The following is a 12,982-nucleotide window of genomic DNA, read 5'->3' on the forward strand; positions in this document are numbered from 1 at the left end:
CTTCCAACAGGGGGGCATCTGAGCAAAGGCCTGGGCTGCCCATGACTGGCCCGACCTTCCTTCCAGGTGCTCCCCAGCGCAGTGGGGGCATCGGGGGAGGGATTCCCTGTGGCATGTCCCATCCCACCCCCATACAGGATCTCTGTGGGACCATTCCTTGCCAACCTTTCCCCAAAGGACCAGAAACTGTCCTCACCCACGTCCCTAAAATCCACAAGCGGCCTGGCATCCCAGGGCTCCCTGCCCCCTCTGCTGTGGCTAAGACAGCAGCCAAGGACTCAGAGATAGATGCTTCAGGCTGGGGGACACACGAGGTCACAGAGTCCCTCCCTAAGACGCCAGCCAGGGCTGCGCTATGAGCTGCTGAGAGCTGAGAGCTTGTGGATTCCACAGCTCCTCGGCCACTTATGCTGGGTGGGGTCACAGTTCTTGGCATCAAACCTGAGTCCCCCGGCTGCAGTCTGAACCTACTTCCTCTGGCACTGTTCTGTTCCTAGCTAGGCGGAGGCCTGGGTCTCCCTCCTGTACATCTGGACGGGTGAAGACTGAGCTCCCTGGCATCCCGTGGGCTGCCTGTTTCTGTTTCCCTTCTCCACACGTGCCGACCTCAGAGACGTGACAGCACCTTCGCCCTGGAGAATCTGTTGTGTCCGTCACGCTCTCCCTGGCTCAGCCCTGACAGCCCCCGCAGTACGCGTGCACCCCACACTGCCTTCATCCACTGCCCAGCCCACGCCTGGGCAAGGCCCACCCCTTCCCTATGACCCCTCCCAGCCAGAGGAAGTGCCATGGGAGCGGCCAGTTGCACCCCTATGTAAGGTGGTGGAGCCTGGACTGGGAGATGCACTCAGGAACTGCTTAGGATAAGCACGCTCGTGCAGACCGTGGCAGGAGCGTGGGGAGGAAGGAGGACGTGCCTGGCCCAGGAGCGGAGGGGACCCCATGCTGTGAAGAAGCACCCCCCACCGGCCCCAGGCTACCAGACCTCTCACTCAGGGTGGGACAACCTGCACCAAATGGGTCCATCCTGTGCTGCTGGCCACTCAACTTTCCAGGCACTGGGGCCCCTGGGTCTCTCGCCCAAGCTCTGTTGGTTGGCTCAGCCTGGCGTAGCACTGCCAGAAGATGGGGAAGGTGCTGGGAAGCACCGGGAACCTGCTGATCCTCACCCGGAACCGAGCTCTCAGCCAGGGTCCCCGACCTGATGTCTCAGTCCTCTCAAATGCCTGCCCCAGGGCAGGCGGCAGTGCCAGGCCAGCTCTCATCTGAGCCTGCTCTGCTCCCATCAATCAGTAGCAAGCTCCTCCTGGCCTGTGACAGCCACTTCCTAGGAGATAGTCACCACCTGGCAGGGGCCACCCCTCTCACAGTCTTAAGCCAGAGTGGACGATTCACACTCGCTCTAAGAAGGAGGCTCCATCCCAGGGGCGTGGGGACAGCTTGTATGGTCCTGGGATTCTGCACATTCAGCCACACGCCTCTGACCTTCACAACCCTGGCATCCCCCAGGACTCCCAGAGGTCCAGGCCCTCCTCCGGCTCGAGATCTTCCCTTCACCAGAGGCACCCCTGTTTGGGTTCTGAACCCCAGCGGGGTAGCCCCTGGATGCATCCTCACAGAGACACACACACGTGCTCACATGCATGGACTCACACACGCAGCCTCTGTGCACACACGCAGGCCTCGTGGACATGTGCTCACACAGACCCTCTTCATGCACACACACACACACACACAGCCCTGTTCATGCACACTCACAAGACATGCAGTCCCTGTACACGTGTACACACACACACATTCCCAGTGCATTCTCACACAAGCACCCCTGGATGACAGGAGCACCCTCCAACCCCCAGGCCATTGTGAAATTATCAAATATCCTCAGGCAGGGGGCGGGGCAAAATCACCCCCTGTTGAGAATCACTGACCCAGACACGCCTTACCCGACCCCTCCACACACACGCGCCTGCAGTGATCGTGCACGCAGCAGTGCACCTGCACACCTACACACATTTCCCACCCCCCAGTCCACCTGCCTGGACTTGGGCTTGCCCTCCACTGCCTGCCCCCCGGGGCCTGAGCGCCTCCTTTCCTCCCAGCCAAGCTGCTGGCGCCTGGCCTGGCCCGGGCACGCGGGGAGGGTGTCGGGGGAGGAGGCGGATGGCTTCTTTTCCCGTTAGGCGCCTGGCTCATGGAAGAGGCGAGTGTGGATCTAATCTTCAGCTGATTAAATGTCCCTCATTAATGAGTTTCTTTAATTAATGAAGTTTTTGGGTCTGCTCCACTTGCTTTATTCCAGCCACACTCTGCCTTCTCAGCACAAAGCGGGGCCATTTCCTCCCGGGTAATTGAGGGAGCCGCGGCCCGTTCCTGCCGACGCTGCACTTTGCTGATTGCGCCTGTCAACTCGGGGCTGACAACTCCATTTTTAAACATCTTCTTCTCTAGAAGCCATGTGCACATGTGTGCTTGCACAGGCGGAGGCACATCCCAGGCAGCCCGCCCCCGCCAAGCACTGTCTCCGTCACACGCCAGGCACACACACGCCCACTCACGCGGACAAGGCACGCTCGTGGGCAGGTCTGATCTGCAGCTGGGAGCCTCTCCAGGCACCCAGAGGGGCGTGTGTCACCGAGCCTGCGAGGCACACTCCCACCGCAGGAGCAACCTGTACATGCCTGCACACTCACTGCACACATCCGTGTGCAACACGCACACTCAGACCGTGCATGCCTCTACATACCTGTATTCCCCATGTGCATACACACAGTACACACTCGCACACTGTGTGGACTCACCCGAGCACGCTCGTGTGTACCATGTCACACGCAGGTGTGAACACCCGCACGCACACACTCCACACATACACAGTGCACACTCTCATACTGTGAACACTCACTCCACACTCTCACACTGTGAACACTCACTCCCAAGCTCATGCACATACACACCATGTCACAGTCATGTCCAGGTAATACGTACAGCCCACACTGCATCCACACGCATATACACTGTGCATGCTCACTCCTGAGCACACACAACCAAAACACACATTACACCTGTATGGTGATGCAACCCCTCACCCACACACACATAGCACGTGTTCACACCTCCTCACCCACACACGCACATACACAGCACATGCATTCACACCCTCACCCATACACATGGACACAGCACATGCGTTCACACCCCCTCACCCACACACGCATGCACACAGCACGTGTTCACACCACCATCCACAAACATGCACACAGCACATGCCTTCACGCCCCCTTACCCACACACATGCGTTCACACCCCCTCACCCACACACATGCACACAGCACATGCATTCACGCCCCCTCTCACCCACACACGCAGGCATACAGCAATGCATTCACACCCTCACCCGCACACGCACACAGCACATGCATTCACACCCCCCTCAGCCCCACACATGCACACAGCACATGCGTTCACACCCCCTCACACACATGCACACAGCACATGCGTTCATGCCCTCACCCACACACGCACGCACACAGCACGTGTTCACACCCCTCACCCACACACACATGCACACAAGCACATGTTCACACCCACTCTCACCCACACACGCACAGCACATGCGTTCACGGTCCTGCCTTGGCATGCTCACACCTGGGCTCACACCCATGTCCACACACATTCCAGTTCACACACTCACCTAAGGCACCCTCCCCACAAACACAGGGCCCCCCCCACCCCGACACAGGGAGACCACAGATACACAGGCATCAGGCAGGGCTGTGCCCACCCCAGAGGAGGAAGAGCTTGCTATGGATGCCTGCATGCCAGGTGACTATGTCTCCAGGTCCACCTGTCATCCAGATGACCTGCCCAGCCGCATCTTGGCCCTGCTGGCTGCACTTCCTGCTGTGACTGGGTGCCAGCTCTGGGCTCCAGGGCCTGGAAGGACGATTTACACCTTCTCATTGGCTCGTGAAGAGCTCTCTGAATTAAAAGCATTCATCTTCTCCTGCTGACCGGGATGTGGGCTCCTTCCCCGTGAGGCTGGCCGGAACTGGGCAGGCAGGGTCACAGCTCCAGAGCCAGGGAGGAGGATGCACTGCCGGCCAGACTCTCCTGTGGGTGGGCACGTGGCTGTGATGCAGTGGGGGACCAATGGGACAATTCTTTCCTACCAGGATCTGCCCACCACCAACCGCGAAAAAGGAGATCCTTCCCAAAGGCAGAAATGGGCCCTTCTGCCGCTAGGGATCAGCCAGGAGTGGCTGTGCCCAGGGCAGGATGAGCATCTCTGCACTGACGATGCCGGAGGGGCAGAACCACCGTGTGTGCCCGGGGAGGACGTCTTGCTGACTTCATCCCAGCCAGACGACGTGGGTGTCACTATCCCCATGTTACTGATGGGAAAACTGACGCCGAGAGAAGCCAAATAAGTCTCAGGCTTTCCCTGCAGGTAAAAGGGGCAGGGCCAGGCCTGGTGTCCAGCTCTGTCTCACTCCCAGGCCCATCTCTCCTGGTCCCGCGGCCCTGCCAGGCCACCCCGCCCTGTGGCTTCCCCAAGAGGGTTCTGGCATCTCCATGGGTAGCTCTCCCGCCCAGCAATGACAGCCTCGCATGTCATTGACCAGACTCTTCCTGCGCAGCCCTTGGCAGAGTCTTCACCATACCTGAGGGGAATGTGCTGTGATCTCCATTGTACAGGTGAGGAAACTGAGGCTGCGAGAGCTTAGTGGCTATGGGCAAGTCACGCAGCTCAAGTATAACAGCTCAGCTCATCTCTGAGCCCAGGGCCATTTCCATCTCTCCACTCTGAGCCCCATTTCTGTATCTCCAGCCCTGGCCCTGGAGGGTGAACCCTGTATGATGCCACACCCAGCCTCTGAGCTGAGATGCCACTGCCTCCTGGGCACCAATCACACACCTGTCTCCAGGTGCATGTGTGGGCCAGACACAGCGTGTGCCAAGCACCTGCTGCAGGCTGGCACCGGCACCCACATTAGCTGTAAAGCTCACGATGGCCCAGGCGGTGACAGTCCCTGGTTTTGCAGACAGGGAAACTGAGGCTCAAAGAGAGAGAAGGACAACCTACAGTCCCACAGCTCGGAAGCACAGCATGACAGACCAACCCAGGCGTGTGCCACAGAGCTTTAGTCTCCTAGCATGTTCTAGAAAAGTGCTCCATGGCCAAACTTCTTGGGGAAAATGCCACCATGCTGTCTAGAAAAGGCCCGGAGAAGTTCCGCAGTGGAGAGACAGGTTTAACTGTGCTGGGCATGCCATCCATCCCTCACACTTCTCCACCCGGAATTCTTTTTTTTGCCAAAGACCTATCAGAAGTAGAGATATTTGGGAAACGGAGCCAGATGCCATGCTGAGGGCTGGGGTTGGTCCCTTGAAAGGACACCTGGCTGTGCTCACAGAGGTCCTCTCCTACCAATGCTGAAGACCCTTGCTGGGTGACAGAGGCAGCCCGGGTGGCTTCGCAGGGATGGTCCTGGGATTTCCTGAGCACTCTCTGGGGACAAAGCTCTATACTTGGAGAGTGCAGGGGAAGCCCAGGGCCCAGCAGGGTGGCAGCTGCCTGGTAAACGGGGATGCACCGTGGCTCACGCGGCTGTCGATACAGGCAGAACGGAGGCCTGAGAGCTCCTGGACTGATGAGCACTGTGGCTGGGGACAGAATTGGGAGGGGTCAAAAGACTGGTCTTTCTGCAATAAGCGAGAGGGCTGAACCTAAGATTAGTGTGATTGGACTCAGGAGCTGGGGTTGGGGCAGGAATGCTTATGAGCAGGACACTGTTGGGGGCCAGCCAGGAGCCCCCTTTGCTGCTGGGAGTTACCCAGAGAGCAGGGAAGGCTACAGAGTTCACACAGGCAGAAGGCAGAGGCCCTGCCTAGGGCTCCGGGAGGGTCTCTTCTGGGCATCTGATTCTGAAATCTCAGTTCTATCACAAGAAGCCAGTGTTAAATTTCTCTTCTTATAGTGGCTCAGAGGGGGTCAGCATGGGGCCTGAGGTTACACAGCACATCAGCAGGGGAGGGTCAGGTGGTTGGGGTGGGGCTGGGTCTCCTGATGTCCAAACACTTACAGAAAGCCACAGCCCCTTGGCAATGTGCCTGGGTCGGGCAGGCTAGAGCTTGAGTCCTGAGAAGTTGGGGGTCCCTCGGTAAGTCCTTCACCTCCCTGGGGGTCCTGTTTCCTCATCTGTAAAGCAGGCATAAGACAGCCTCCCTGGGCAGGCTGTGTGAGGACTAAAGCTGTTAACACAGGTGAGCGGACGACACAGTGCCCCCCGGTCGCAAGCAAAACAGACAGTGATGCCGAAAGTGAGCGTTATCTATAAGAACCCTGCTGCCTGGGCACCCCAAGGGAGCTCTGGAGAGCCAGCCTGGCCTCCCCTACCTGACCTCACAGGAAGAAAGGGACGCACACAGGTAGGAAAGCAAAGAAACCCTGAGAAAGAGGAGGAGACGGGGCGGGGCCCAGGACGGGATCCTTGCCCGCTGCCTCTGAGTTTGTGGGAAGGGAGGGAAAAGGTTGGTGCTGCTATCCTTTTACGATGCTTTGAAACACCGTCTGGATGAAGGGAAATTAAATATCGCAGCTTTTAACTGGAGCCACACCGAAAACACAACCTTGCAGTAAATAAAAAGACGATTTACCACCGTGACACTTTCATTTCACAAAACTCCCTGTGTGCCTTGTCTGTAATTATTCCCTCCCGGTCCCCGGCCTCTGGCCCGACTGTATTACCTGCCTCTGGGGATGGGGAGGTGGCTGCGGAGCCTCCAGGGGTGGGAGCAGCCCCGTTGGAGAGGCAGGAGGGGTCTGAACATGGTTCATTATGATTGAGATTAAACTGAAAAATCAATTTTTAATTGAATGTATTCTTCAAACAGACCCTGTTGCCCACGGCTGAGCACTAATGGAATTTCCATCCTAAGCCGCCCCTTCTCCTTGACGAGCCCTCCCCAGCCTGCTGACCCCAGCAGGACTCACCAGGCCAGCAGATCTGCCCCTACTGGGGCTGCAACGCTGCAACTAAACTCCGCCAGCGGGGCACGGTGGCGGGAGGCCACTCGTGGGTGTGTGGAGGTGGGGAGGGGCTGGATGGTGGAGAGTCTGTCTTCTCCACGTAGACTGGCTGGCCAGCTGGGGGGTGCCGGGGGTGCACCTGGGCTCCTCTGAACAGGCCGAGGGCTGCTGCTTCTTGACCCAGTCTGGGGCTCTTACGAAGTTGTTGAAAGATGGGTCTGGGCTTCTAGGCACAGGGGCAGGGACACAGCCCCCAAGGTCCTCTGGTTCCCAAGAGACTTTTCTACCAAGAGCCATGTTCAAGGATGGGGGGAGAACCAGGCCCCTGGGAGTAATGCCCCCCATAACCCTGAAGACCACGGCCTCCCACCCATGCACGTGGCCCTGCCTGGCATCCCACTGAGTCCAGGTCCCAGGACTAGAAGACGAAGAGGGAGGCCCAGGACAGGGACATCCTGGTGCACGGTGGGCTGCTGTGTGAAGGATGCTGGTCCCTGCACATCTGCTTCCCATCTGTAAAGGGGACTCACAGCAGGCTGCAAGGGCTGGGCTAACAGTAAGAAGGGTGGGACCACCTGCCTGCCATACCTTGGACCCCACAAGAAGGGGGGTCCCTGTGTCTGTGTTTTGGGCAGCCTTGCATCTGACCGTGGCGACTAGCACTGACCGGATCTTGGCTGTGCCAGCTCGCCCGAGTCCACCCCGTTCTCTGCCCACCCTGCCTCTGTCCTTACAGGCCCCCTGGAGAGTTCCCCAAGCCTGTTCCTGGGGGACCTGGATATTCTGGGGACAGTTCTGTGGATGGTGCTGTCCTTGTTGGTGGAGCGGGGGGTGGGGGGGGGTTCTATAAATCCATCTCAGGCATTTCTCCTTCTCCAAGCCAGCTCCACCTCTGACCCTCTTTTCCTCCACTCCCTGCTGCCCCCACAGCTCAGAAGCCAACCCACCCACAGCGTGGGGGTCTCCTCCCAGGCTCGCCACTACCCTGTGCAGAGCAGTTCCTTGATGAGGCTGGGCCTTGGCCACCAGAATCGGGGTTCTCCCCACCAGGGACACCTCTGCTCTGGCCACAGGTGACCCCCTTCGCTCGGCACCAACGCCACGTGCAGGAGCTCCCTAGGGACAGGAACGGGGTAGGGGACCGTCGTCCTCCAGCACAGGCCCCCACACCTGGAAGCCACTCTGCATCTGAGGCTGGGCATGTTTTGGGTTGGAAGGTGGGTGGTGCCCTCGGAGCCCCTCCTGCAGGAAGCACTGACTCATGAAGACCCCCTCCATTTTCAGTCGGTGAGGACCCCCGACCTGCAGTGCCTGGGCTCAAGCCAGGACACCCCAGTGGAGGGTGCTCTTCACGGCCACCCCTGTTCCTATTTAACTGCAGGCCAGGACGGACACCCCCATCCTTCCACTGAAGGGTGGCCACGAAGGGGGACAGACCTGCTTGGCCGGTGCCTGGATGGTAACAGGCCCCCGTGCCCAGCTCTGCCCGTGACACCCTCCAGAGGAGGACACATCTAAGCCACAGGCCCGGCACTGGCATCGAGGGGTCCAGAGATCTCCCTGCAGAGGATGTCGTGTGTGGGTGGAGGGATGCGCTGACCTGGCCAGAGAGGGGGGCCTGCCTCCCCCTGCCTCTGAGCCAGGCCAGGCCCTCCAAGCCGTCCTGGCATCAGTGGGTGGCCAATGGGCCTGCTCTCGAGGCAGGATCCGTGAGGCCTGAAGAATTGTCCCGCTCTACCCCCGCCCCATGGCTGCCTTGTTTAAAAATGTGCCAAGATTTTGCAGGACGGCCACGGAGGGTGGGGTGGGCAGAGTAGGCGGGAGACGCCTACCACAGAGGCGTCACATGACCCCCAGCTTCCCAAGGTCCCTCCCCAAGCCTCCTAGCTGCCTCCTGCAGGCCTCACTCAGAAGCTCTTTCCTGGTGTGGGGCAGGTCCAAGTCTAGATGTTTCTAGAAGCTCAAGCATGCTCTGCGCCCCACTGCTGGGGCCTGGGTGAGAGGAGTTGGTGGGTGGAGGGGGCAGGGCTCATGCCGCAGACCTGAAGCCAAGCCCAGGGTTGAGCCACAGGAGGAGGAAGAAGCACCCCTCTCCCGGCCCTGGGACCACGGTTCCAATCCTGCCTATGTCCCCGAACGCCGAGTGCCTCCTGAAGGCCAATGAACCTCTCTGGGTTTCTGTTTCCTAGTCCTAAACTGAGGACTAGGTGCCCCCCACTCGGGCACAGGAAGGCAGAGCTCAGGTGCCAAAGACCAGCCTGAAGTGTAGATGTGTCAGAGCTGAGGGCCCGAGGCAAACGCCCTCCCTTCACAGATGTCTCCTGGCCCACAAAAGGGGCAGACGGGCCGCTGCCTACCCACCTCCGAGCTGTCACCAGGTTCCGAGTCCAAAGGAGACGAGCGCACCTGTGCTCCCACACGCTGGTTCCCACCTGAGCCAGGGAAGGAGAATCCACAATGATGCCTCGAGGCTCTCAGCAGGGACTGGCACTGAATCGCAGCAAGGTGGGGGCGGGACAGGGTGTGCGGGGTCCTTAGTCGCTGCCTGTCCTAGGAGATCAGGGGAAACTGAGAAACTGCCCAGAAAAACAGCTCAGGAAGCCCAGAGCCCGAGTTTGGGCACAGATTCTGTCCCATCATCGAGCTCAGCCAGGACCCCCAACACAGGAGCCTGCGCACGTCCTATCCGAGTGTGCACCTGCGTCTCCTGGGGTCTTGCAGAGATTCTGACTCAGTGGTATGGGATGGGCTGAGTGTATTTCAAATAAGTTCCCGATGTGCGTGGCGGTTCTGAAACGTGGCCGCACCCTGAAATTGCCTTGGAAGCTTTAAAACATACTGGTGCCTGGGTGCCCTCCCTGGAGAGGGTCTGAGGCCACTGGCCTGGGGCGAAGTCTGGCCACAGGGACTTTAAAGGCTCCTGTGGTGATTCCAATGTGCAACCGAGTTTGGGAAGCACCTGCTCTCCGTGTTCTCCGGAGCCAGCCCACAGGCCAGCCCAGTCGGCTCTGAGAGGGGGCCCCGCCCCACCGCCCTGGCCTTCCTTCTGGGGGCGCAGAGGCCTGCTGAGCACTGGCCCCGCATGTGGTGGCAGCAGGGAGGAAATGGGGCATTCGCCGCTCTGTGGTTGTGTTTTTTCTGCCACCACCACAGGCAAGGCGTTCGGCAAAGTGAGTGCATAGTTCCCACTCAGCACCTGGACCCACTGACACGTGGATCCATGCGGCCCACACGGGGGCTCTCAGCCGGGCGACGGTGCCCTGCAGGGGACATTTGATGACTGCTGGGGACAGGGTAGGTCAGCGTCTCCAACCTTTTTGGTACCAGGGACTGGTTTCATGGAAGACAATTTTTCCAAAGGCCGCCGGGGGCAGGGGGGTGGTTGGGGAGGGATGGTTTTGGAATGAAACTGTTCCACTTCAGATCATCAGGCATTAGATTCTCATAAAGAGCATGCAACCTGGATCCCTTGCACGTGCAGTTCACACGTGAACTGTGCCCCTTTGAGAATCTAATGCCGCTGCTGATCTGACAGGAGGTGGAGCTCAGGTGGTCACGGCAGCGATGAAGAGCGGATATGAATACAGACGAAGCTTCACTCCTCTGCCCGCTGCTCACCTCCTGCTGTGCGCCCCAGTTCCCACCAAGCCATGGAGGGGTTGAAGACCCCTGACGTAGGTTGTCACAACGTGGGGTGTCCCTAGCATCGAATGCAGGGAGGCCAGAGATGCTGCTCCACCTCCTACAGACGCCCATCAGAGTCTGACCCAGCCTGGCAGTAGTGCCCTGGGCCAAATGACAGGAGGGAGAGCTTCCCCAGGGGCCGGCAGGCCCCCGTTTCACCACTGCATTAGACCGAGTCTGCAAGAGGGTACGTGACTCCATCCTAAATGGGTGTTGCTTGGACTTGAACTCAAGACCTGGGTTTAGTCTTAGCCCTGTTCTTTCCCTCTCTGAATTGTCAGGTTCAATGTTAAGGGCCTGGAAGAACCCTACATGCCATCCTGGTTCCAGGCAAAGCCAGTCGGTTCCCAGGTGTGTGCAAAGCAGCCAGACAAGCCTTGTGCCTCACTGGGGAGCAGCTGAGGGGCTGGTCTGTGTGTGACCAGCTGCCATCTGCGAGTCCAGCCCCACCTGGCTCTGGAGCAGAGCTGGTGCCTGCCCAGGGCCCAGAAAAGCTTCTCCATGGGGGCCTGGGCCTGCAGCCTGCTGGTCACGTGGGTCTGCTGCTGGGAGGTCCTGCAGAAGCTGGGGAAGATGGTGGGTCTCCTCTCTGCAGGCTCAACCTCACCATGAGGAGGGGGCAGAGGCCTGAGGAGGGCGGGTGCCCCTGCTGTGAGCCCCTGGGCAGGGTGTCTGGCAGCTCCTTGGCTGCCCCCTTTGGCTTTAGCAAAACATGATCAAAACGGGCCCCCTGCCTGCCTCCTGGACACACCCAGGGGTGAGATCCTTTACTTTGGATCTTACAGGGAACAGGGGACAAAATAAGAAACTGCACCAGCCTCCGGGTGTCCCGGGGTCAGCCCCCGGTGCCAGGTTCCCAGCCTGCTGTGCTGCTGTCTGGACACCAGAGCCAGGACCCTCCAATTCCAAGGCTGCTCCCTTGCCCTCCCGTCCGTGTCGTCCTCAGAGATGGCACGGCCCAAGTCAGGAGGACACTGTGGTCACAGGAGGCGCTGGCCATGTCTGGCCTTCTGGAGGAGGCAGGAAATCCATTCAGTGCCCACCTCTGCAGGTGGCCGGGAGGACAGCTTCAGTTCACCAGCCCTACGCAGCCCATTTTACAGAAGCAGAAACCCAGATGTAGAGAAGATAATTAACTAGGGAACATCAGAGTTGGGGTTTGAGCCCAAAGCCTGGAAGAGGCTGTAAAGGCAGTGAGGCCGCCAGCCTTCCCCCAACCCCTCCGGAGCCTGGCCCATGCTGTGCGCCAGAAGAGGCCTGGGGAGTTCCCTGCTGCCCTGAGAGGCAGGCCCTGGTCCAGAGATCGGGAGGATCTCATTGGGGAGGGGGGGGGCTCACCTTCTGGTAAGAGGATCCTGGGGGCCATGGCTGTCCCCTGCCCTTGGCAAAGCCCAAAGCAGGTAGTTGGCAAGACCCCAAAAGGCAGAGCACGTGGAGCCCAATCAGCCTTGCACACCCCTGGTTCTGGGCTGGCCAAGGGCCTTGTCCGCCACCCACAAGTGTGTCCAGGCAGGCTCTGCGCCCCTGGTGCCCAGTACCTGGCCAGGGCTGCCGGTGGGCGACGAGGCAGTAGCTGGTGCAAGCTTTGCCAAGCGCCTTCGATCCAGCCTCTCTCTCATGCTAATGACTGTCAACATGAAACAGAGGCTGTGAAGGGGAAGAAAATTACTCCCTGAAAAGGAATTGACTGATCCCCATCATTTCTCAAGGAATCACTGACCTGTGAATATTTCATTACCCAAAATGCTGCACCATCCATCCAGAGCCGCCGCTGCCGTGGGGCCCCGGGGGGAGGGCGGATGTACAGGGCCAGGCTCTGGCCTGTGACCAAGATTTCCTCACCGTGGGACCCCAGGGTGCGTGCGGCCCTAAAGACCCAGAGACAGGTGTCTGGCAGACAGGAACACGGTAGCCTCTCTAGGTTTTGGGAGCGGTCATGGCTAACACTCCTTGCAGCTGTGTTCTGTGCCTGGAGTCTCCATTCTGGTTGGAGGACTGGGGTCCCGTTTCCCACCCACAGTCCCTTCTCCAGCCTCCCAAGGTCCCTTCCCAAGCCTCTCGGCTGCCTCCTGCAGGCCTCACTCAGAAACTCTTTCCTGGCTTGGGGCGGGTCCAAGTCTAGATGTTTCTAGAAGCTCAAACATGCCCTGTGCCCCACTGCTGGGGCCTGGGTGACAGAAGTTGGGGGGTGGAAGGGGCAGGGCTCATGCCACAGCCTGAAGCCAAACCCAGGTTTGAGCCACAGGAGGAGGGAGAAGCACCCCACACCCC

At 59.5% G+C, this 12,982-nt stretch overlaps 1 protein-coding gene across 58 annotated transcripts in view; it reads right to left on the minus strand.

Moving 5' to 3' along the window:
* The window catches only part of RBFOX3 (RNA binding fox-1 homolog 3), a 576,227-nt gene that overhangs the window by 46,176 nt on the left and 517,069 nt on the right, over positions 1–12,982 (minus strand). For 3 of the 58 annotated variants that reach the window (NM_001385839.1, NM_001385813.1, XM_011524360.2), the window contains exon 5: positions 9,389–9,577. The exons of 54 other annotated variants lie outside the window; for them this stretch is intronic. The gene's annotated coding sequence lies outside the window, so the exon portion shown is untranslated. The remainder of the gene's footprint in view (positions 1–9,388; positions 9,578–12,982) is intronic. One more of the 58 variants, NM_001385818.1, reaches the window with a different exon arrangement.

The sequence above is a fragment of the Homo sapiens genome, chromosome 17 (genome assembly GCF_000001405.40).
Source record: "Homo sapiens chromosome 17, GRCh38.p14 Primary Assembly".
Classification (NCBI taxonomy): Eukaryota; Metazoa; Chordata; class Mammalia; order Primates; family Hominidae; genus Homo; species Homo sapiens.